General features: G+C 44.7%; 1 protein-coding gene across 16 annotated transcripts in view, besides 2 other annotated features; it reads left to right on the forward strand.

Moving 5' to 3' along the window:
• Nucleotides 16,876-17,390: an enhancer, noted in NCBI's record as "H3K27ac hESC enhancer chr17:42785839-42786353 (GRCh37/hg19 assembly coordinates)". NCBI's record gives its function as "activates a minimal SCP1, AML or CMV promoter by ChIP-STARR-seq in naive H9 embryonic stem cells {active_cell/tissue: H9 hESC(naive)}" and the evidence as "EXISTENCE:reporter gene assay evidence [ECO:0000049][PMID:30033119]".
• DBF4B (DBF4B-CDC7 kinase regulatory subunit) overlaps nt 17,070-23,332 on the forward strand; it is a 43,600-nt gene continuing 37,337 nt past the window's right edge. For 9 of the 16 annotated variants that reach the window (NR_148206.2, NR_036623.2, NM_145663.3 and 6 more), the window contains exons 1-2: nt 17,070-17,244; nt 17,709-17,771. Coding sequence is in view for 11 of the 16 variants with exons in the window: in NM_145663.3 (NP_663696.1) it covers nt 17,226-17,244; nt 17,709-17,771 (82 nt within the window). In the remaining 5 variants the exon portion in view is untranslated. The other 7 variants (NR_148207.2, XM_047436817.1, XM_024450953.2 and 4 more) reach the window with 4 other exon arrangements.
• Nucleotides 17,391-17,904: an enhancer, noted in NCBI's record as "H3K27ac hESC enhancer chr17:42786354-42786867 (GRCh37/hg19 assembly coordinates)". NCBI's record gives its function as "activates a minimal SCP1, AML or CMV promoter by ChIP-STARR-seq in primed H9 embryonic stem cells {active_cell/tissue: H9 hESC(primed)}" and the evidence as "EXISTENCE:reporter gene assay evidence [ECO:0000049][PMID:30033119]".

The raw sequence follows: 23,332 nt of genomic DNA on the forward strand, positions 1-23,332 counted from the left end.
AGAATGGTAGGAGTTCTTTACATAAAGGGACTGGAGGGAAAAAGGGGGTAGATCCAGATGCAGGGGAACTGTGAATTCAAAGGCTTGCTAGGGGGCCTCCAGAGAGTCATGTATGGCTTGAGCTACAGGATTCAAATAGAAGATATTCAGGGGATAACAACAAAAAAAGAAGGAAAGGAGTTTGTATACCTTGCAGAGGTCCTCTTATTGCAGAGGTCTACCCTTAGTGGCATTGGGATTATGTAAATGAATGGACACTAAATGAATGGCACAGATACAAATGTAAGAAATATGGCAGAGTGTGAATTTTAGTTGCGTGGCTTCTGTGTGCTCGCTGAGTTAGATAGAATGTGACACTAACAGAGTCAGAGGCCAGAGTCAGCCTCCAAAGGCTTGCCTCTTTTTCAAGTCCTCAGTTATTCTTTCTAATCTAGTAGCTGTCTTGCAGGTAGGGCTTGTCAGTTCACAGACCTGGGTGCCATCATGGCTCAAGGATGATAGCTGGTCAGTGCAGAGCCCCCAAACCAGAAAAACATCACAAAATTTTGTTTTTTAGAAATACAGCCTCACAAGAAGTTTCAAAAATAGTACATAGAGTCCTGCACACCTTCACCCAGTTTCCCCCAATAGTAACATCAAACATAAAGACAGTATAATAGTAAATCAGGAAATTGATATAGGTATTATGCAATAAGGTTTTTTTGGTTTTTGTTTTGAGGTGGAGTCTCACGGTTGTCGTCCAGACTGGAGTGCAGTGGTATGATCTCAGCTCACTACAACCTCCGTCTCCTGGGTTCAAGCAATTCTCCTGCCTCACCCTTCCATGTAGCTGGGATTACAGGCACCCAGCACCACACCCGGCTAATTTTTTTCCTATTTTTAGTAGAGATAGGGTTTTGCCATGTTGGCCAAGCTGGTCTCAAACTGCTGATCTCAGGTGATGCACCTGCTTCGGCATCCCAAAGCGCTGGGATTACAGGCATGAGACACTGCTCCTGGCCATAATGCAATAAGGTTTTTTGAAAGCATCAACAAGCTTCTCAAAAACTGAATCAAGGTTCTCCAGACCCTAAATTTTAAGAATATCCTCAATGGCTATTTTACTACAAAAGTAACATAGCTCATGCTTTAAAAAATATTATATAAGGCCAAGCACGGTGGCTCACGCCTGTAATCCCAGCACTTTGGAAGGCCAACGCGGGTAGATCAACTGAGGTCGGGAGTTCGAGACCAGCCTGGCCAACTGGTGAAACCCCATCTCTACTAAAAAAATACAAAAAAATGGCCCTGCGCGGTGGCTCACACCTGTAATCCCAGCACTTTGGGAGGCCGAGGCGGGCAGATCACGAGGTCAGGAGATCGAGACCATCCTGGATAATAGGTGAAACCCCGTCTCTACTAAAAATACAAAAAAAAATTAACTGGGTGTGGTTGCGGGCGCCTATAGTCCCAGCTACTAGGGAGGCTGAAGCAGGAGAATGGCGCGAATCCGGGAGGCAGAGCTTGCAGTGAGCCGAGATCTGACCACTGCTCTCCAGCCTGGGCAACAGAGTGAGACTCCATCTCAAAAAAAAACAAAAAAAACAAAAAAATTAGCCAGCTATGGTGGTAGGCGCATGTAATCCCAGTTACTTGGGAGGCTGAGGCAGGAGAATTGCTTGAAACCAGGAGGCGGAGGTTACAGTGAGCTGAGATTACGCCATTGTACTCCAACCTGGGCAACAAGGGCAAAACTCTGTCTCAACAAAAAAAAAGAAAAAATTATATAAATGGATAAGCGACAAATTGAAAGCTTACAAAAAATAAAATACGCAAATTAAGATTGCAGTGAAATACCACGTCCGCTTTTCAGATCAAAAAAGTCTGATAATATGCTGTATTGAACTGTGCTTGGGTAAAAGACATTGGAAAATGTTAGAGCAGAAAGTAAATGGATCTGGTCTTGTTGGAGGACTGTTTGTTTGAAAAGACCCAGCATTTCTGCTTCTGGGAATTTGTTCATAAGTTATTCATTTATTTTTATCTTTACTTGTGGTAAAATACACAATTTGCCATCTTAACTATTTTTAAGTATACGATTTAATAGTGTTAAGTATTAATTATTTTTAAAATTTTTGGTTTAAACTGGGCGTGGTGCCTGTTTAAACTGGGCGTGGTTTAAACTGGGCGTGGTTGGCTGGGCGCGGTGGCTCACGCCTGTAATCCCCGCACTTAGGGAGGCCAAGGTGGGTGGATCACTGAGGTCAGGAGTTCAAGACCAGTCTAGCCAACATGGCAAAACCCTGTCTCTACTAAAAATATAAAAATTAGCCAGGTGTGGTAATGCATGCCTATAGTCCCAGCTACTTGGCCACTTGAGAAGCTGAGGCAGGAGATTCACTCGAATTCGGGACACGGAGGTTGCAGTGAGTTGAGATAATGCCACTGCATTCCAGCCTGGGCAACAGAGTGAGACTCTGTCTCAAAAAAAGAAAAAAATTTTGATTTAATATTTTGTATAATGGCCAGGCACACTGGCTTACACCTGTAATCCCAGTACTTTGGGAGGCTGACAAGGGAGGATTGCTTGAGGCCAGGAGTTCGAGACTAACCTGGTCAACATAATGAGACCCCAGCTCTACAAAAAAAAAAAGTGGTGGTGCATGTCTTTTGTCCTACCTACTCAGGAGGTTGAGGCAAGAGGATCACTTGAGCCCAGGAGCTCAAATTTACATGAGCTATGATGATGCCACTGCATTCTAGCCTGAACAACAGAACAAAACTCTGTCTTTAAAAAATAAAACTGTGCATTTGTGTAGAATCACATTTTTCTAAGGATATTCATTGTAGTGAAGCTTTTTGTAGTAAAAGAATAGTCTACATTTTATGTATATGAGACTGGTTCAAAAACTCTGGTAGCCACACAAAGAAGTATTGCACAGCTGTAAAAAAAAAAAAAAAAATGAACAAAGAGGCCGGGCGCGGTGGCTGGTGCCTGTAGTCCCAGCACTTTGGGAGGCCAAAGCAGGTGGATCACCTGAGGTCAAGAGTTCGAGACCAGCCTGGCCAACTAAAAATACAAAAATTAGCTGGGCATGGTGGTAAGCACCTGTAATCCCAGCTACTCGGGAGGCTGAGGCAGGAGAATCGCTTGAATCCAGGAGGCAGAGGTTGCAGTGAGAGGAGATCATGCCATTGCTCTCCAGCCTGGGCTACAGAGCAAGACTCCGTCTCGAAAAAAAAAAAAAAAAAAGAACAAAGAAGCTCTTTATGCACTGACATGTATCAAAGTTCGAGATACATTGTTTAAAAAGTACAGATCAACAATATGTAATGCTTGCCACCATCACTATTTAAAAAGAAGTTAGGGTAGGGGAATACATGTACATATGTGTCCTTGTATGTGCATAGGCTATCTCTGGAAAGATACACCAGGGATATGTGAGAATGGTTGTCCACTGAGGAGGAGAACTGAAGGAGACTGGTTTTGAACTGTTATATTTATTTACTTTGTATCTTTTTGTAAAAGAAAGCAAATTTGAAGCCCTTTCTCCAACCTCATTTTCTCCCCTCTCTCCCCAGATGTAACCACTATTCCTGAATTTGGTGTTTATTTTCTTCTTGAATGTTTTTAAACATAGTACACATTGCTACATATATAATACATATTACAACATATGGATGTATCCATAATATATCACATTGGTGTGCATGCTGTACTTTTCATTCTGCAATGTGCTTTTTCACTCAAGGTTGTTTAAAATATTTACCCATGTTGGGCCGGGCGCAGTCGCTCATGCCTGTAATCCCAGCACTTTGGGAGGCCTAGGCGGGTGGATCAGCTGAGGTCAAGAGTTTGAGACAAGCCTCACCAACATGGTGAAACCCCATCTCTACTAAAGCTACAAAAATTAACTGGGCGTGGTCACGCACGCCTGTAATCCCAGCTACTTAGGAGGCTGAGGCAGGAGAATAGCTTGAACCTGGGAGGCGGAGGTTGCAGTGAGCCAAGACTGCGCCACTGCACTCCAGCCTAGGTGACAGAGCAAGACCCTGTCTCAAAAAATATATACGTGTATATGGCCGGGCACGGTGGCTCATGCCTGTAATCCCAGCACTTTGGGAGGCCAAGGCGGGCGGATCACCTGAGGTCAGGGGTTCGGGACAAGCCTGACCAACATGGAGAAACCCCATCTCTACTAAAAATGCAAAATTAGCCAGGTTTGGTGGCACATGCCTGTAATCCCAGCTACTTGGGAGGCTGAGACAGGAGAATCGCTTGAACCCGGGAGGCGGAGGTTGCGGTTAGCCGAGATCGCGCCATTGCACTCCAGCCTGGGCAACAAAAGCGAAACCCCATCTCAAAAAAAAAAAGAAAAAAATATATATAATATATATGTATCTATATATATTTTATATATATCTTTACCCATGTTGATATATGTAGCTCTTATCCATCCATTTAAATCACTGCATAGTATTCCGTTGCTTTAATATGCTCCAGCTGATCCATTCCTCTGCCGATGGATGGTGAGGTTAGTTCCTAGTTTTCCAGTCAGTGCACCAGTTCACATTCTTAGGTGGTCCCCTTGCCCACCATGGGAAAGTTCCTCTAGATCAGTGAGCATCAGACATTTTTGCCACATACTCTTAGCAGTAAAAATATTCTCAGCATGTACACCTAATGCACTAATATGTAGTTATTTATGAATTATTTGTGTGAACTGCTATATCAAATTAGTATGTCCATCATAAAACATACAAAAAGAGAACTACAAAAAGGAGAAAATCGTTAAAAAATGAAGTAGGCCGGGCGTGATGGCTCACACCTGTAATCCCAACACTTTGAGAGGCCGAGGTGGGTGGATCACTTGAGGTCAGGGGTTCAAGACCAGCCTGGCCAACATGGTGAAACCGGGTCTGTACTAAAAATACAAAAATTAGCCGAGCAATGGTGGTGGGCATCTGTAATCCCAGCTACTCGGGAGTCTGAGGCAAAAGAATCGCTTGAACCCGGGGAGCGGAGGTTGCAGTGAGCCAAGATTGAACCACTGCACTCCAGGCCTAGGCGACAGAGCAAGACTCCGTCTGAAAAAAAAAAAAAAAGAAAGAAGTACATAATATAAATATTTATTATTTGTAGTATACCAAAAGTCCTTAGTAAAAATAATGTAGTTGAAGATGTTTCATTACCACCCCCACTTCTTTATTTATTTTTATTTTTAATTGTGGTAAAATATGTAATTTGGCATTTTAATCTTTTTTTTTTTTTTTTTTTTTGGTAGAGACAGGATTTCACCATGTTGACCAGGCTGATCTCGATCTCCTGGCCTCAAGCAATCCGTCCACCTCAGCCCCCCAAAGTGCTGGGATTACAGGCATAAGAGATTGCACCCGGACCCATCTTTTTTTTTTTTTTTTTTTTTTGAGACGGAGTCTTACTCTGTCGCCCAGGCTGGAGTGCAGTGGCGTGATCTCGGCTCACTGCAAGCTCCGCCTCCCAGGTTCACGCCATTCTCCTGCCTCAGCCTCCGGAGTAACTGGGACTACAGGCGCCCGCCACCGCGCCCGGCTAATTTTTTTTTTTGTATTTTTAGTAGAGACGGGGTTTCATCGTGTTAGCCAGGATGGTCTCGATCTCCTGACCTCATGATCCGCCCGCCTCGGCCTCCCAAAGTGCTGGGATTACAGGCGTGAGCCACCGCGCCCAGCCAACCCGGACCCATCTTAACATCCAACTATATACCAATTTATCCACCTCGGACCCCCAAACTGCTGGGATTACAGGCATAAGGGACTGCACCCGGCCCCATCTTAACCCTTTTTAAGTTTACCGTTTAGTAGTGTTAAGTATTCATTACCTTTTTTTTGAGACGGAGTTTTGCTCTTGTTGCCCATCCTGGAGTGCAATAGCGTGACCTTGGCTCACTGCAAACTCTGCCTCCCGGGTTCAAGCGATTCTCCTGCCTCAGCCTCCTGAGTAGCTGGGATTACAGGCATGCACCACTACGCCAGGCTAATTTTGTATTTTTAGTAGAGACGGGGTTTCTCCATGTTTGTCAGGCTGCTCTTGAACTCCTGATCTCAGGTGATCCGACTGCCTCAGCTTCCCAAAGTGCTGGGATGACAGGCGTGAGCCACCACACCCAGCTGTATTCATTACTTTAAAACTTTTGGTTTAACAATGTGTATTACAGCTATTTAAGTTCTATTCATTTCAATTCTTGGTTTTCATGACTGTCTTGACTGCAGTCTTGACCCCTATGATGGACTCTTAGGGGTTTATTATAGTACTCTATCTACTTTCATGAATATTTTTTATGCTCCATTTCTCTAAAATCTGCATCATTGTGCTTAACAAAACCAGTCATTTTAAAATCCCATCTACCAAGGCTTTTATTGAAATTGGACTCATTTCTATCTTCCCTGATTTTTTTTTTTTTAATTTTTGTGAGTACCAAGTAGGTATATATATTTCTGGGATACATGAGATGTTTTGCTACGGAATCTTCCCTGATGTTTATCAGTTGTTTTTTCCAAACTAATCAGAAGGCATTGTATTTTTTTCTTTTTTTTTTTTTGAGATGGAGTTTCACTCTTGTTGCCCAGGCTGGAGTGCAATGGCACAATCTCAGCTCACTGTAACCTCCACCTCCTGGGTTCAAGCGATTCTCCTGCCTCAGCCTCCCAAGTAGCTGGGATTACAGGCATGTGCCACCACGCCTGGCTAATTTTGTATTTTTAATAAAGACGAGGTTTCTCCATGTTGGTCAGGCTGGTCTCAAACTCCTGACCTCAGGTGATCCGCCCACCTCGGCCTCCCAAAGTGCTGGAATTACAGGCGGGAGCCATCATGCCTGGCCTGTTTTCTTTTCTTTTGAGAAAGGGTCTTGCCCTGTCACCCAGGCTGGAGTGCAGTGGCAGGATCATAGATCACTGCAGCATTGAACTCCTGGGCTCAAGACATCCTCCCACCTCAGCCTTCTGAGTAGCCAGGACTATATGTGCATGCCACCATGCCCGGCTAGTTTTCTTTTCTTTTTTTTCCTGAGACAGAGTCTCACTCTGTCACCCAGGCTGGAGTGCAGTGGCGTGATCTTGGCTCACTGCACCCTCCCAGGTTCAAGTGATTCTCCCTGCCTCAGCTTCTCAGGTAGCTGAGATTACAGGTGCCTACCACCACGCCCAGCTGATTTTTTTTTTTTTTTTGAGATGGAGTCTTGCTCTTGTTGCCCAGGCTGGAGTGCAGTGGCACAATCTTGGCTCATTGCAACCTCTACCTCCTGGATTCAAGCAATTCTCCTGCCTCAGCCTCCCAAGTAGCTGGGATTAAAGATGCATGCCACCACGTTGGGCTAATTTTTGTGTTTTTAGTAGAAACAGGGTTTCACCATGTTGGCCAGGCTGGTCTGGAACTCCTGACCTCATGATCTGCCCACCTCAGCCTCCCAAAGTGTTAGGATTAGAGGCGTGAGCCACCACGCCCGGCCTGATTTTGTATTTTTAGTAGAGATGGGGTTTCACCATGTTGGCCAGGCTGGTCTTGAACTCCTGACCTCAGGTGATCCGCCCACTTCGGCCTCCCAGAGTACTGGGATTACGGGCGTGAGCCACTGTGCCCAGCCTGCCAGCTAGTTTTTTTAGATTTTTTTTTTTTTTTTTAAGAGAGACAGAATCTCCCTGTGTTTCCCAGGCTGGTCTCGAACTCCTGGCCTCAGGAGATCCTCCCACTTTGGACTCCCAAAATGCTGGGATTACAGGTATGAGCCACCACACCCAGCATTGTTTTTTCTTCTTTTTTAGATGGAGTCTCGCTCTGTCACCCAGGTTGGAGTGCAGTGGTGCAATTTTGGCTCACTGCAACCTCTGCCTCCCAGCTTCAAGCGATTCTCCTGCCTCAGCCTCCCGAATAGCTGGGACTACAGGCGCGTGCCACCACACCCGGCTAAGTTTTTGTATTTTTAGTAGAGATGGCGTTTCACCATGTTGGCCAGGATGGTCTCGATCTTCTGACCTCATGATCCGCCCATCTTGGCCTCCCAAAGTCCTAGGATTACAGGCATGACCCACCGCACCCAGCCACCTTTTTAAAAAATATATATACAGAGATAGGGTCTCACTCTTTCACCCAAGCTGGAATGCAGTGGCACAATCACAGCTCACAGCAGCCCAAAGTCCTGGGCTCAAGGGATCCTCCCATCTTAGCCTCCCAAGTAGGTAGGAATACAGGCGCCCACCACCGGATCTAGCCAATTTTTTTTTTTTTTTTTTTTGAGACAGGGTCTCACTCTGCTGCCCAGACTGGAGTGCAGTGGGGCAATCTCAGCTCAGTGCAGCATCAACCTCCTGGGCTCAAGCAATCCTCCCACCTCAGCCCATTTTTTTTTTAAGTATTTTATAGTGACAGAGTGTCACTGTGTTGTTGCCCAGGCTGGTCTCAAACTGCTGGCCTCAAGTGATCCACCTGCCTCAGCCTCCCAAAGTGCTGGGATTGCGGGTATGAGCCACCTTTTCCTGCCCAAAACCCATTGAGACAGTTGCTTGGAAGATTTTTAAATGGTTTAGCAAATTCTGTTTTATAGATTTTTTTTTCTTTTTATGGAGACAGAGACCCACTCTGTAGCCCAGGCTGGAGTACAGTGACACAATCTCAGCTTACTGCCAAGTGATTCTTGTGCCTCAGCCTTCTGAGTAGTTGGGATTACAGGCAAGCACCACCGCCCCCAGCTAATTATTGTATTTTTAGTAGAGATGGGGTTTCGCCATGTTGGCCAGGCTGGTCTTGAACTCCTGGCCTCAAATGATCCACCAGCTTTGGCCTCCAGAAGTGCTGGGATTACAGGTGTGAGTCACCGCGCCCAGCCTAGATTTTTAAATGTGAGAATCAGATGTTTTGTTTTATTTATTTATTTATTTATTTATTTATTTATTTATTTAGACAGAGTCTCACTCTATCACCCAGGCTGGAGTGCAGTGGCACGATCTCGGCTCATTGCAAGCTCCACCTCCCAGGTGCACACCATTCTCCTGCCTCAGCCTCCCGGGTAGCTGGGACTACAGGCGCCCGCCACCATGCCCGGCTAACTTTTTGTATTTTTAGTAGAGACAGGGTTTCACCGTGTTAGCCAGGATGGTCTCGATCTCCTGAGCTCGTGATCCACCCACCTCGGCTCCCCAAAGTGCTGGGATTATAGGCATGAGCCGCCGCACCCGGCCCGTTTTGTTTTATTTTTAAAGATGGTTCACATACCTTTATTAGAAACAAAGTCATTAAAGATCAAAACATTTCCAAACATGTGTCTTCAAAATATGCTCTTTATGGCATGAGCTTCTCTTGATTAGTGGTGATTTTTTTCACCCCTTGGCCAGCTGACTCCTTCTCAACACTGGATTCTCACCGAACCATAAGAGTTTGTACCTGTAATACTCATTTGTGTGTGAAGCACTAGGATTATTTGTAACTGTAATCTTGCTCATTCACAAGAATATGGTTAAGCCCCTTGTCCACTTTGGAGAGTTAGGAAAAATTATATCTAGATAGCATAATCTGTAAATCCACTTATCTGGACATACGTAAACTGTATAGAGACTAGGTGTGGTCTCTCACCTGTGATCCCAACACTGGGAGGCCAAGGCAGGAGGATCGATTGAGGCCAGGAGTTCAAGACCAGCCTGGGCAACACAGCAAAACTATTAGTAAATAAATAAAATAATGATAATAATAAAAACTGTGTAGAACACTGAAAAGCAAACATGGCGCAGGACACTGAAAGAAAACACACAACCCCTCCAAATACGAAGCTCCTGACCCCTTACCCAGTTACCTCACCTGTCTTACATAACCCAAGATGTCTAACAGATGCCCAGTGTCAATCCACTTACTAAATATTAATAAAGCTTACTTGTTTTTCTTCTTTTAGATAATATAATACACTTAAATTATAATGTGTTTTTTCAGCACCTCTATGATCAATTTTTTTTTTTTTTTTTTAGATGGAGTCTTGCTCTGTCACCCAGGCTGGAGTGCAGTGGTGCAATCTCGGCTCACTGCAACCTCTGCCTCCCGGATTCAAGCGATTCTCCTGCCTCAGCCTCCTGAGTAGTTGGGATGACAGGCGCCCACCACCATGCCCGGCTAATTTTTGCATTTTCAGTTGAGACAGGGTTTCGCCATGTTGGTCAGGCTGGTCTCGAACTGCTGACCTCAGGTGATCTGCCCACCTCAACCTCCCAAAGTGCTGGGATTACAGGCGTAAGCCACTGCACGCAGCTCTTTTTTTTTTTTTTTTTTTTTTTTTTTGAGACAGAGTCTCACTTTCTTATCCACGCTGAAGTGCAGTGGTATAATCATCCCTCATTGCAGCCTCCACCTCCTGGGCTCAACTGATCCTCCCACCTCAGGCTCCTGAGTAGCTAGGACCACAGGCATGCACCACCACACCCAGCTAATTTTTTTTTTTAATTTTTAGTAGAGATGAAGTGTCACTATGTTGCTCAGACTGGTCTCAAACTCCTGGGCTGAAGCGATTCACCTGCCTCAGCCTCCCAAAGTGCTGAGATTAAAGGTGTGAGTCCCCATGCCTGACCTTTGTAATCATCTTGTACCTGAGGCACACCTTTCTTTTTTGGCCGGGGCGGGGGGGTGGGGGGCGGAGAGTCTTGCTCTGTCACCCAGGCTGGAGTGCAGTGGGGCCATCTCAGCTCACTGCCACTTCTGCCTCCTTGGTTCAAACAATTCTGCTGCCTCAGTATCCCAAGTACCTGGGATTACAGGCACACACCACCATGCCTGGCTAATTTTTATATTTTTTAAGTAGAGATGGGGTTTCATCCTGTTGGCCAGGCTGGTCTTGAACTCCTGACCCCAAGTGATCCGCCCACCTTGGCCTCCCAAAGTGCTGAGATTACAGGCATGAGCCACCATGCCTGGCCAAGGCACACCTTTCTTTGGAGACCACCGGCCCAGGATAAACCTAGAAGAGTGTTAGACTGAAGGGCAGGTACCTTATTGGGTACTAAATTGCTCTCCCAAGGTTTGCCCCAGTTTTATACCCCACCCTTTTCTTTGCATTTTTACTAGAATTTGGTTTTAATACACATTAATTTTTGCAGATCAAAAGTTATGAAGTGGCATTTAATTATTGTTAAATTGGTATTTTCCTAATTATTAGTGAGTCGTAGCATGCTTTATGTTTATCAGCCCTTAAAATGTCTCATGTTTGTATTGCCCGTATTTTTCTTTTGTGTTATTTGTCTTTTCCACATTGATTTTTAAGAATCTACTTTTTCTTTTCCATTTCATTAATTTCTATCCTTTGCTATTTCTGACTGTCTACAGCCTTTGGGCTCACTGTTTTGTTCATTTTTCTGACTTCTCAAGTTGAACACTTAGCTAATTCATTTTCAATTATTCTTATTTTCTCTTTCTTACTTCCTTATTTTCTTTTTCTTTCTTTCTTTTTTTTTTTTTTTCTTTTTAAGCAACAGAGTCTTGCTGTGTTGCCCAGGCTGGTCTCGAACTCCTGGTCTCAAACAGTCTGCCTGCCTCGGCCTCCCAAAGTGCTGGGGTTACAGGCATAAGCTACCACTCCTGGCCTAAATTTAACTTTTAGATTTGGGGGTACATGTGCAAGTTTGTCACAAGGGTATATTGTGCAATGCTGCAATTTGGGCTTGTCGGTGGGGGGTGGGCAGGGTGGGCTGGGGCAGAGTCTCCCTCTGTTGCCCAGACTGGACTGCAGTGGGGCAATCACAGCTCACTGCAGCCTTGACCTCCTGGGCTCAAGCGACCCTCTCACCTCAGCCTCTCCAATAGCTGGGACCACAGGTGCATACCTAATGCTCAGCTAATTTTTTATTTTATTTATTGTAGAGAAAGGTTCTCCCTATGTTGCCCAGGCTGGTCTCAAACCCCTGGGCTCAAGTGATCCTCGGGCCTTGGTGTCCCAAGTGTTGGGATTACAGGCATCAGCCACCACACCTGGCCTGGGCTTCGAGTGATCCCATCACCCAGATAGTGAACATATTACCCACCTTCCTCTCTCCAGCCTTCCCTCCTTTTGGAGTCCCCAGTGTCTATTGTTCTCATCTTTATGTCCATGTGTATCCAGGGTTTAGATCCCACTTAAAAGTGAGAACATGCAATATTTGGTTTTCTGTTTCTGTGCTAATTTGCTTAGGAGAATGGCCTCCAGCTACACTCACATTGCTACAAAAGACATGATGTTTTTTTTTTTTTTGAGATTGAGTTTTGCTCTTGCTGCCCAGGCTGGAGTGCAATGGCAAGATCTCAGCTCACCGCAACCTCTGACTTCCAGGTTCAAGCTATTCTCCTGCCTCACCCTCCCGAGTAGATGGGATTACAGGCATGCGCCACCACACCCGGCTAATTTTGTATTTTTAGTAGAGATGGGGTTTCTCCATGTTGGTCAGGCTGGTCTCGAACTTCCAACCTCAAGTGATCCGCCCACTTCGGCCTCCCAAAGTACTGGGATTACAGGCGTGAGCCACTGCCCCCAGCAATTTCATTATTTTTTATGGCTGTATAGTATCCCATGGTGTATATGTACCACATTTACTTTATCCAATCCACCATTCACGGGGTACCTAGGTTGTTTCTATGTCTTTGCTACTGTGAATAGTGTGGTAATAAACATAGTGCAGGTGTCCTTTTGGTAGAATGGTTTATTTTCCTTTGGGTATATACCAAGTAATGGGATTGCTGGGTCACATGATAGTTCTATTTTTAGTTCTTTGAGAAATCACACTGCTTTCCACAGGGGCTGAACTAATTTACATTCTCACCAACAGTATATAAGCATTACCTTTTCTCCATAGACTGGCCAACATTTATTATCTTTTGGCTTTTTAATAGTAGCCATTCTGACTGGTATGAGATGGTATCTCATTGTGGTTTTAATTTACATTTCTCTGATGATCAATGATATTAAGCATTTTTTCATGTTTGTTGCCACTTGTATGTCTTTTTTTAAGATATGTCTGCTCATGTTTTTGCCTTTTTTTTTTTTTTTTTTTTTGAGACAAGGTCTTGGTCTGTCGTTCAGGCTGGAGTGCAGTGGCATGATCTTGGCTCACTGCAGACTTGACCTTCTGGCCCAGGTGATCCTCCTACCTCAGCCTCCCAAGTAGCTGGGGCTGCAGGCATATGCCACCAGGCCTAGCTAATTTAAAAAAATTTTTATATAGATGGGCCTCCCTATTTTGCCCAGGCTGACCTTGAACTCCTGAGCTCAAGTAAAGCCTCCTACCTTGGCCTCCCAAAGTGTTGAGATTACAGGCATGAGCCCCTGCATCTGGCCTTTGCCCACTTTTTAATTAGGTTTTTTTGTTGTCGTTGATTTATTTAAGTTCCTTATAGATTCTGGATATTAGTCCTTTGTCAGATGCATAGTTTGCAAATATGTTCTCCCATTCTGTAGGTTGTTTACTTCATTGATAGTTTCTTTTGCTGTGCTTTGGAAGCTCTTTAGTTTAATTAGGTGCCAGTTGTCAATTTTTTTTTTTTTTGTCGTAATTGCTTTTGAGGACTCAGGCTGATATCTAGACAGTATTTCCTAGGTTTTGTTCCAGAATTTTTAGTTTGATGTCTTACATTTAAGTCTTTCATCCACCTTGAGTTAATTTTTGTATATGGTAAGAGGTAGGGGTCCAGTTTCATTCTTCTGCATATGGTTAACCAGTTTTCCCAGCATCATTTATTGAACAGGGAGTCCTTTCCCCATTACTCATAGGTGTACAGCTTTATTTTTGGGTTCTTTATTCTGTTCCATTGGTCTATGTGTCTATTTTTATGCCACTACCATGCTGTTTTGGTTACTGTAGCCTTGTTTAGTTTGAAGTCAGGTAATGTAATGCCTCTGGCTTTGTTCTTTTAGCTTAGGATTGCTTTGGCGATTCAGGCTCTTTTTTTCATTCTATATGCATTTTAGAATAGTTTTTTTTTCTGATTCTGTGAAAAATTACATTGGTAATTTGATAGGAATAGCACTGAATCTGTAGATTGTTTTGGGCAGTATGGACATTCTAATGATATTGACTCTTCCAATCCATGATCATGGAATGTTTTTCTATTCGTTTGTGTCTTTTATTATTTCTTTCAGCAGCAGTGTTTTATAGTTCTTGTAGAGATCTTTCACCTCCTTGGTGAGATGTATTCCTAGGGATTGTTTTGTGTGTGTGGCTCTTTTTTTTTTAATGAGACAGAGTCTCGTTCTGTTGCCCAGGCTGGAGTGCAGTGGGGTGATCTCGTCTTACTGCAAGCTCTGCCTCCCGGGTTCATGCCATTCTCCTGCCTCAGCCTCCCAAGTAACTGGGACTACAGGCACCAGCCACCACACCTGGCTAATTTTTTGTATTTTTAGTAGAGACGGGGTTTCACCATGTTAGCCAGGATGGTCTCGATCTCCTGACCTCGTGATCTGCCCGCCTCGGCCTCCCAAAGTACTGGGATTACAGGTGTGAGCCACCATGCCCGGCTGGCGCTTTTTTTTTTTTTTTTTTTGACAGAGTCTCGTCACCCAGGCTGGAATGCAGTGGTGTGAGCTTGGCTCACTGCAATCTTCGCCTCCTGGGCTCAAGTGATCCTTGTGCCTCAGCCACCTGAATAGCTGGGATTACAGTTGCACACCATCACTCCAGGCTAATTTTTGTATTTTTAGTGGAGATGGGGTTTCACCATGTTGGCCAGGCTGGTCTCGAACTCCTGGCCTCAAGTGATCCACCCTCCTCAGCCTCCCAAAGTGCTGGGATTACAGGTGTGAGCCAACATGCCCAGCCTGTGTGTGTGGCTGTTGTACATGAGATCACATTCTTGATTTGGCTCTCAGCTTGAACGTTATTGGTGTATAGAAATGCTACTGATTTTTGTGTGTTGACTTTTTTTTAATCCTAAAATTTTATTAAAGTAATTTATTGGGTCTAGGAGCCTTTTGGTGGAGTCCTCATGGTTTTCTAGCTATAGAATCATATCATCAGTAAGCAGAGATAATTTGATTTTCTCTTTACCTATTTGGATGCCTTTTGTTTCTTTTTCTTGCTGATTGCTCTGGCTAGGATTCCCTAAATACATTTATATTTTAAAGTATTTTCATTTTTTGGAGTTGCATAGTGTTGCACAGTATGACTACACCATAATTTATTTAACCTACTGCCCGTTGTTAATCAATATTTTCGTTGCTTTTGATCTTTTGGTATTGCAAACAATGCTGAGGCAGATACCTTTATTATACAAATTCTGTCACACATGTGAAAAAAGAACATGCTGAACCATCTTGCCTCTTAAAGTTTCTGCTTGGAAGTGATGTCACTTTTTTCTTTTTTCATGAGCCAAAGCAAGTCATATGGCCAAGGCTTCGTTCGTTCATCAGGGCTGAGATGTATAAGCTTCCTCAGGGAGGAGTCCCACTGGAAGAGATACCAAGTTTATGTACTGTATATACCTCTACCAGTGTTTAAAAAATATCACCCTGGGCCAGGCGCGGTGGCTCACACCTGTAATCTCAGCACTTTGGGAGGCCGAGGCGGATGAATCACCTGAGGTCAGGAGTTCGAGACCAGCCTGGCCAACCTGGTGAAACCCCGACTCTACTAAAATACAAAAATTAGCCGGGCATGGTGGCAGGCACCTGTAATCCCAGCTACTCGGGAGGCTGAGGCAGGAGAATGGCCTGAACCCGGGAGGCAAAGGTTGCAGTGAGCCAAGATTGCGCCACTGCACTCCAGCCTGGGCGACAGAGCGAGACTCCCTCTCAATAAAAAAATAAATAAATATAAAAACTATCACTCTGGTTGCTGAATGGAGAATGGATTATACTGGGGAGAGATAGGAAGCTACTCGGGAGTAGAAGTGAAGAATTGACCGCAGTACTTTAGGCAAGAAATGATAGCAGCTTGAACTAGGGTGGTGGTGGTCTGATTCCAGATGTACTTTGGAGGCAGAGTTAGTAGGATTTTTTTCTTGGAGTGGGGATGGGCACAAGGGAAAGTACTGAAAGACAACTTCTAGGTTTTTGGTTTGAGCAACTGGGTGAATGATTGTGACATTTGAGTAAACAGTAACATTTTACTGAGAGGGGAAGACCTGGGGGGAGAACAGGTGGTTTTTTGACAGGGGCAGCGAAACAAATGTTCTGTTTTGAATGTGTTCAGCCTGAGGTGCCTATTAGACATCCAAATTGAAATAGCCAGTAGGCACTTGAATATGTGAGTCTGGAGATCAGACAGGTCAGAGCTACAGAAAATCTGAAGGTGTGGCAGAGCTGAATTGTAAAGCTGTGGAGCTGGATGAGATCTCCTAGGGAGATAAGGGAGAGGGATAAGGGCTAAAGCGTTGGCATACTCCAAAATATATAGGTGAACAGTGGCTTTGGATCCAGCAAAGGGGACTGAGGAGGAACCATTGAGATAGGGAAAAAAACGGTAGAGTGCTGAGTCATGGAAGCAAAAAGAAGAAAGTATTTCAAAGAAGGAATAGTCCATCTATAAGTTGGATATGATAAGGATAGTATTTCAGACTGTGGAAATCACAGTTGACCTGGATAAGTACAGTTTTTGTGGGGAGGTCCCCAGCTCTCCACTGAATGATCTCTTATTAGATCAAATTTGATCTCTAATTAGCAGTCTAATTAGATGGGTTGAAGAAAAGATGGGAAGTGAGGGATAAAGATACGTCTTTTGAGAAGTTTTGTTGGGCAGGTAATAATTGAAGAACGGGAGGGGGACAAAAATGTGAAGATGAAATGATGTGTAAGTGAAATCTTTATGTAAACTGCAAATGCTCTGCAAGTGTTAGGCTTATTTTGTTATTTAGTATTCAAACTTCTAGGAATTTCAATGCAGCTCAGTGTGAAGAATCACTAAAAAGCGACCACTAGTCCTCAACTTGAGGGCCATTAAGGGGCAAAGCCGTCTAGCCAGTGAAGAGCCAAGAAATGAAGAGACGGTTTGAGAAGACGTAGGCGGTGGGGGAACGGAAAGAGGAATCGCGAAACTAATATTGTCCTTCCAAGGACACCGTAGGGCGGATCTCGCAGCTACGGCGTTCTTTTAGGGGTGGAGCCGGCAGGAAATTTAAACTGAAGCCGCGGCCGAAAACGCCAAGAGATTGATGCTGTAGCTGCCCTGAGATAACCAGGACTGTGGAATCGGGAAGAGCTCATGGAGCTCGCGAATGTAATACGGAGGCCTCTGAGGAAGGAGTACGGAGGCCGAGAAGGAGCCGGCATTTGATGAGCGAACCGGGAAAGGGTACGGATGCCGGGAAGGGGAGAAAGAAAGGCGGAAGGGGTCGTTAATAGCTGAGGCGAGGTGCGGAGTCGTGGAGGGGGCTTAGGAAGTGACCAGCGGGTAGGTGCCGAAGCTGAGGAGGGTATAGGGGCCGGGAAGGAGCCACAGGAGTTGAGGGGACCGAGGAATGAAGGTGGCAGAGGAACGTAGGGGACAACAGCCTGGAGGGATGTATGGAGATTGAGATGGACAGGAGGTGGCCAAGAGGTCACGGCCGTTGACTGAACGGAGTCTGAAAGGAGGCGGAGGGCATGAGGGGCAAGAGCCTGGCGGGAGTCGCGGGATGTAGGTCGGAATGGAGTTGAGTCTTGCTGTTCCCAGGAGTCGCGTTTCTGTGCGCGTTTTGGGAGACAGTAGTGGGCGGGAGGCATGGAAGTTCCAAGGGTTGGTGAAGATGGTTGAGTTGCTGTTATGTCCTTTCTCAGGAGACGATTGCCTCGAGCTGGAGAGTTCCATGGCTGAGAGTAGGCTCCGGGCCCCGGACCTAGGTGGGTAACAGGACAGAACTAGGGACGTGAGGTGAAAATTGCCCCAGGGTCTCTTGGAGAAGACCGAAAAATGTTCCCCCTGTTGGAGTTTTCGATCACTCAGTGTTTTTATGTACTTATTTATTCATTTTATTTATTGGGATGGGGTCTTGCTGTGTTGGCCAAGCTGGTCTCAAACTCCTGGCCTCAAGCAGTTCTCCTGCCTAGGCCTCCCAAAATGCTGGGATTACAGGTGTGAGCCACTTCACCAGGCCCACTTAGTGGTTTTATGTGTGTGTGTGTATGGACGCAGCATCATAGACCGTTTTGGGATTCATGATAAAGGTCAAGTAAGAGTCATATTATGAACAAGATTAACAGACAGATGTGGAGTCAGGATAGAGTGACTTATTAAATATATAAATTAATACATTCATAGTTGTTTACAATAAAATCCTTAAGTTAAACACTGCTACCTAATTAGGTAAGTATTTTAGCACATGGCACTTCCCTCCGTACTGCCCCTTTAGTTAATATCATCTAGTTGGCCGGGCGCGGCTGCTCACGCCTGTAATCCCAGCACTTTGGGAGGCCAAGGCGGGCGGATCACGAGGTCAGGAGATTGAGACCATCCTGGCTAACACAGTGAAACCCCATCTCTACTAAAAATACAAAAAATTAGGCGGGCGTGGTGAGGCGTGCCTGTAGTCCCAGCTACTCAGGAGGCTGAGGCAGGAAAATTGATTGAACCCAGGAGGCGGAGGTTGCAGCGAGCCGAGATTGCGCCACTGCACTCCAACCTGGGCGACCGAGCGAGACTCCGTCTCAAAAAAAAGAAAAAAAAAATACCGTCTACTTTTACTTCTGGATTGTTAACAGATATGCCATCGGCTTGTTGCCTTTTAAACAGTAATCCACTTCATTTACTGAGTTATTCATTCTTCCCATCTCTTGTTGGTTTTTTTTCCCCCTTCTGTTTCTCTGGAGAACTTCAAGAGTGTTTTCAAAAGGAGGCTTTGTGTGATAAACTAAGAATATATTTATTTCAGCCTTGTAGTAAAATTTAAGTCAATTTTTTTTCCTTCAACACATTGAAAAATTACAGTATTTTCTCCTTGTTTTCTTCAGCATTTCTTTTTTATTCTTGCTGCTTTGTAAGTGACCTCCTTTTCTCATTAGATGTTTTAGATTATGTGAACCTATGGATTATATTGATGAAAGAAAAAAATGTTTTATTTTATTTATTTTGAGGTCTTGCACCCAGGCTGGAGTGCAGTGGAGCAATCATGGCTCACTGCAGGTTTGGCCTCACCGGGATCAAGTGATCCTCCCACCTCAGACTCCCAGGTAGCTGGGACTGCAGGCACTCAACACCACGCCCAGCTAATTTTTTTTTGTTGTTTGTTTTGTAGAGACGAGGTTTTGCCATGTTGCCCAGGCCGGTCTTCAACTCCTGGGCTCAAGCGATCACCCTCCTCAGCTTCCCAAAGTGTTGGGATTACAGGAGTGAGCCACTGCACCCAGCCCAATATTTTAGATTATACATTTTTATATTTGTTCTTAAAATTTACTATAAGATGATAATGTGTGGATTTTAGAGGGTTTTTATTTTCGTTTTTATTCCAGTTTGATTTTTTTTTTTTTTTTTTTTTTTTTTTGAGACAGAGTCTCGCTTTGTCGCCCAGGCTGGAGTGCAGTGGCACCATCTCGGCTCACTGCAACCTCTGCCTCCAGAATTCAAGCAATTCTTTTGCCTCAGTCTCCTGAGTAGCTGGGATTACAGGAGCACGCCACCATGCCCGGCTAATTTTTGTATTTTCACTAGAGACAGGGTTCCACCATGTTGGTCAGGCTAGTCTTGAACTCCCGACCTCATGATCCACCTGCTTCAGCCTCCCAAAATACTGGGATTATAGGCGTGAGCCACCACACCTGGCCTCCAGATTGATTCTTTAAATTTTTTTAAATTATTATTTTATTTTAGAGACAAGAACTTGCTCTGTTACCCAGGCTAGAGTACAGTGGCACAATCATAGCTCACTGCAGCCTCAAAGCCCTGGGTGCAAGCAATTCTCCTGCCTCAGTCTCCCAATCTCCTGCCTCAGTCTCCCAAGTAGCTATGTCTTCAGGTGCATGTCTCCACACCTGGCTTCCTGTTTGATTCTTGACATAGCTTAAAAGGCAGGCCATGTGTGGTGGCTCACACTTGTAATCCCAGCACTTTGGGAGGCCAAGGCAGGCGGATCACCTGAGATCAGGAGTTCAAGACCAGCCTGGGCAACGTGGTGAAACCCTGTCTCTACTAAAAATACAAAAAACAGAGCCGGGCGTGGTAGCTGACACCTGTAATCCCAGCACTTTGGGAGGCCGAGGCAGGGGGATCACGAGGTCAGGAGATTGAGACCATGGTGAAACCCCATCTCTACTAAAAATACAAAAAATTAGCCGGGCGTGGTGGCAGGCACCTGTAGTCCCAGCTACTCGGGAGGCTGAGGCAGGAGAATGGCGTGAACCCGGGAGGCGGAGCTTGCAGTGAGCAAAATTGCACCACTGCACTCCAGCCTGGGCGACAGAGCAAGACTCTGTCTCAAAAAAAAAAAAAATTAGCTGGCGTGGTGGCAGGCTCCTATAATCCCAGCTACTTGGGAGGCTGAAGCAGGAGAATTGCTTGAACCCAGGAGGTGGAGGTTGCAGTGAGCCGAGACTGTGCCATTGCACTCCAGCCTGGGCAACAAGAATGAAACTCCATCTCAAAAAAGAAAAAAAAAAAAAAGCCAAAGTTTCTCACAAAAAACAGGAGGCATGAGAGTTAATCCCCTTTCAGGCTGTCTGATTCCCACTTCCTAAGAAACAGCCATTTACAGCTTTTAACTATTTCTTCTAGAAGCTACCACCTTATTTCTGTAATAATATGCTCATACTGTTTTAATTGTTTTCCATTTTGAATTATGTCTTCTTTTTTTTTTTTTTTTTTTTTTTGAGACGGTCTCACTCTCATCAGGCTGGAGTGCAGTGGCACAATCATCTCGGCTCACTGCAACCTCTGCCTCCTGGGTTCAAGCGATTCTCCTGCCTCAGCCTCCCAAGTAGCTGGGACTACAGGCACGTGCCACCATGACTGGCTAATTTTTTGTCTTTTTAGTAGAGATGGGGTTTCACTGTGTTAGCTAGGATGGTCTTGATCTCCTGGTCTCGTGATCCACCCGTCTCAGACTCCCAAAGTGCTGGGATTACAGGCATGAGCCACCACGCCCAGCCAAATTTTTTGTATTTTTAGTAGAGATGGGGTTTTACCATGTTAGCCAGGATGGTCTCGATTGCCTGACCTCACGATCTGCCCTCCTCAGCCTCCCAAAGTGCTGGGATTACAGGTGTGAGCCACCACACCCGGCCTGTCTTCTTTTTTTTTTATAGAGATGGGGTCTCACTGTGTTGCCCAGGCTGGTCTTGAACTCTTGGGCTCAAGTGATCTGCCCACCTCGGCCTCCCAAAGTGATGGAATTACAGGCGTGAGCCACCATGCCCAGTCAATTTTGAATTATATCTATTGACTGTCTTCTATGGACAATAAAGATTTTTTCTGTCCTACCACTTCTCTGCACCACACACAAACGCACATGCATTTCCCACCTTTCCTTTTATCTCCCCAGTATATATGTAGTAATTTTGATTTAGTCATTTGTATTGACTTTTTTTTTTTTTTTTTTTTTTTGAGACAGAGTCTTGCTCTGTCGCCCAGGCTGGAGTGCAGTGGCGTGATCTGGGCTCACTACAAGCTCCGCCTCCCGGGTTCATGCCATTCTTCTGCCTCAGCCTCTGGAGTCGCTGGGACTACAGGCACCCACGACCAGGCCCGGCTAATTTTTTGGTTTTTTTTAGTAGAGATGGGGTTTCACTGTGTTAGCCTGTATGGTCTTCATCTCCTGACCTCGTGATCCACCTGCCTCCGCCTCCCAAAGTGCTGGGATTACAGGTGTGAGCCACCACGCCCCGCCGACATTATTTTCATTATGTAAACATTATTCGGCCGGGCGCGGTGGCTCATACCTGTAATCCCAGCACTTTGGGAGGCTGAGGCAGGTGGATTACCTGAGGTTAGGAGTTTGAGACCAGCCTGGCCAACATGGTGAAACCCTGTCTCTACTAAAAATACAAAAATCAGTAGGATGTCGTGCACGCTTGTAATCCCAGCTACTTGGGAGACTGAGGCAGGAGAATCACTTGAACCCGGGAGGCAGAGGTGTAGTGAGCCGAGATCATGCCGCTGCACTCCAGCTTGGGCGACAGAGAAAGATTCCGTCTCAAAAAAACAAACAAACAAAACATTATTCATCACTGAGCTATATAATAAGCTAGGAGATTTTCTTTGTTTTTTTATGTATGGATCACTAATTCAGGTCCAAACTCTTCACCAGAGTATGGGCCTTCTCTCAATACTTTCAAGCTCATCAGAGGATCTGTCAATTTGTCTTGGAGACATAGCGTTTTAGTACTCCAGTCTGGCCTGGCTGTGTACTAGGCCTATTGCACTGATTTCATCCTCCGATCTCCCCTCGTTATTCTGTGGAATTCTTTTTGCCTCTTTCCTGTGTTGGATCTCCTGTATTTTAAATTCTATATTTTTTACACCATGGAATACTACTTAGCCATAAAAAGGAACAAAATAAGTTCTGCAGCAACTTGGATGGAGCTGGAGGCCATTACTGTAAGTGAAGTAACTCAGGAATGGAAAACCAAATACCATTTAGTTTTCACTTGTAAGTGGGAGCTAAGCTGTGAGGATGCAAAGACATGCAAAGTCATATAATGGACTTTGGGGATTTGATGAGGGGGAAGGTTAGGAGAGGGGTGAGGGATAAAAGATTACATATTGGGTACAGTGTACATTGCTTGGGTGACAGGTGCACTAAAATCTCATAATTCACTGTAGAACTCATCCAGGTAACCAAAAACTACCTGTACCCCAGAAGCTATTGAAATAAATAATACTTTTGAAAATGAAGTATAAGTTTGGGGAGCCCCACAGCAATATTTGGCTTTCCTGAAATTCTGTATAAATTTAGACAAGACTATCTCAACATTTATCCATCTATATGCCGATGTGGTAACAGTCTCTGTATGTTTTTTGTGTTTGTTTTTAACTTTCACTAAACAAGTAAGAGGTATCCTTCATTCCATTTCTACCCCTTACTAACAGTATGATCTTGGGCATACAAGATTTCTCTGTGCCTCAGTTTCCTGTAACTGTAATTATTATAACTGTAAAACAGGTATAATAATTTTATCTTCTTTATAGACCTGTTGAGAATGTATTGTGCATAGCGATATATATTTGCTATTTCTATTGCTATTATTGTCAAAAATTATTAAATTTTGATTTTTTTGTAGAAGTGGAGTCTCACTTTGTTGCCCAGGCTGGTCTTGAAGTCCTGAGCTCAAGTGATCCTCCCACCTTGATCTCCCAAAGTGCTGGGATTACAGATGTGAGCTACCATGCCCAGCTTATTATTATTATTTTTTTTAATGGGCAGCCCCCAAACCAGAATAGGTTCAGAGAGGCTCCCATAGGAAGGCTTTTACAT

This window comes from Homo sapiens, chromosome 17 (genome assembly GCF_000001405.40).
Source record: "Homo sapiens chromosome 17, GRCh38.p14 Primary Assembly".
NCBI lineage: Eukaryota > Metazoa > Chordata > Mammalia > Primates > Hominidae > Homo > Homo sapiens.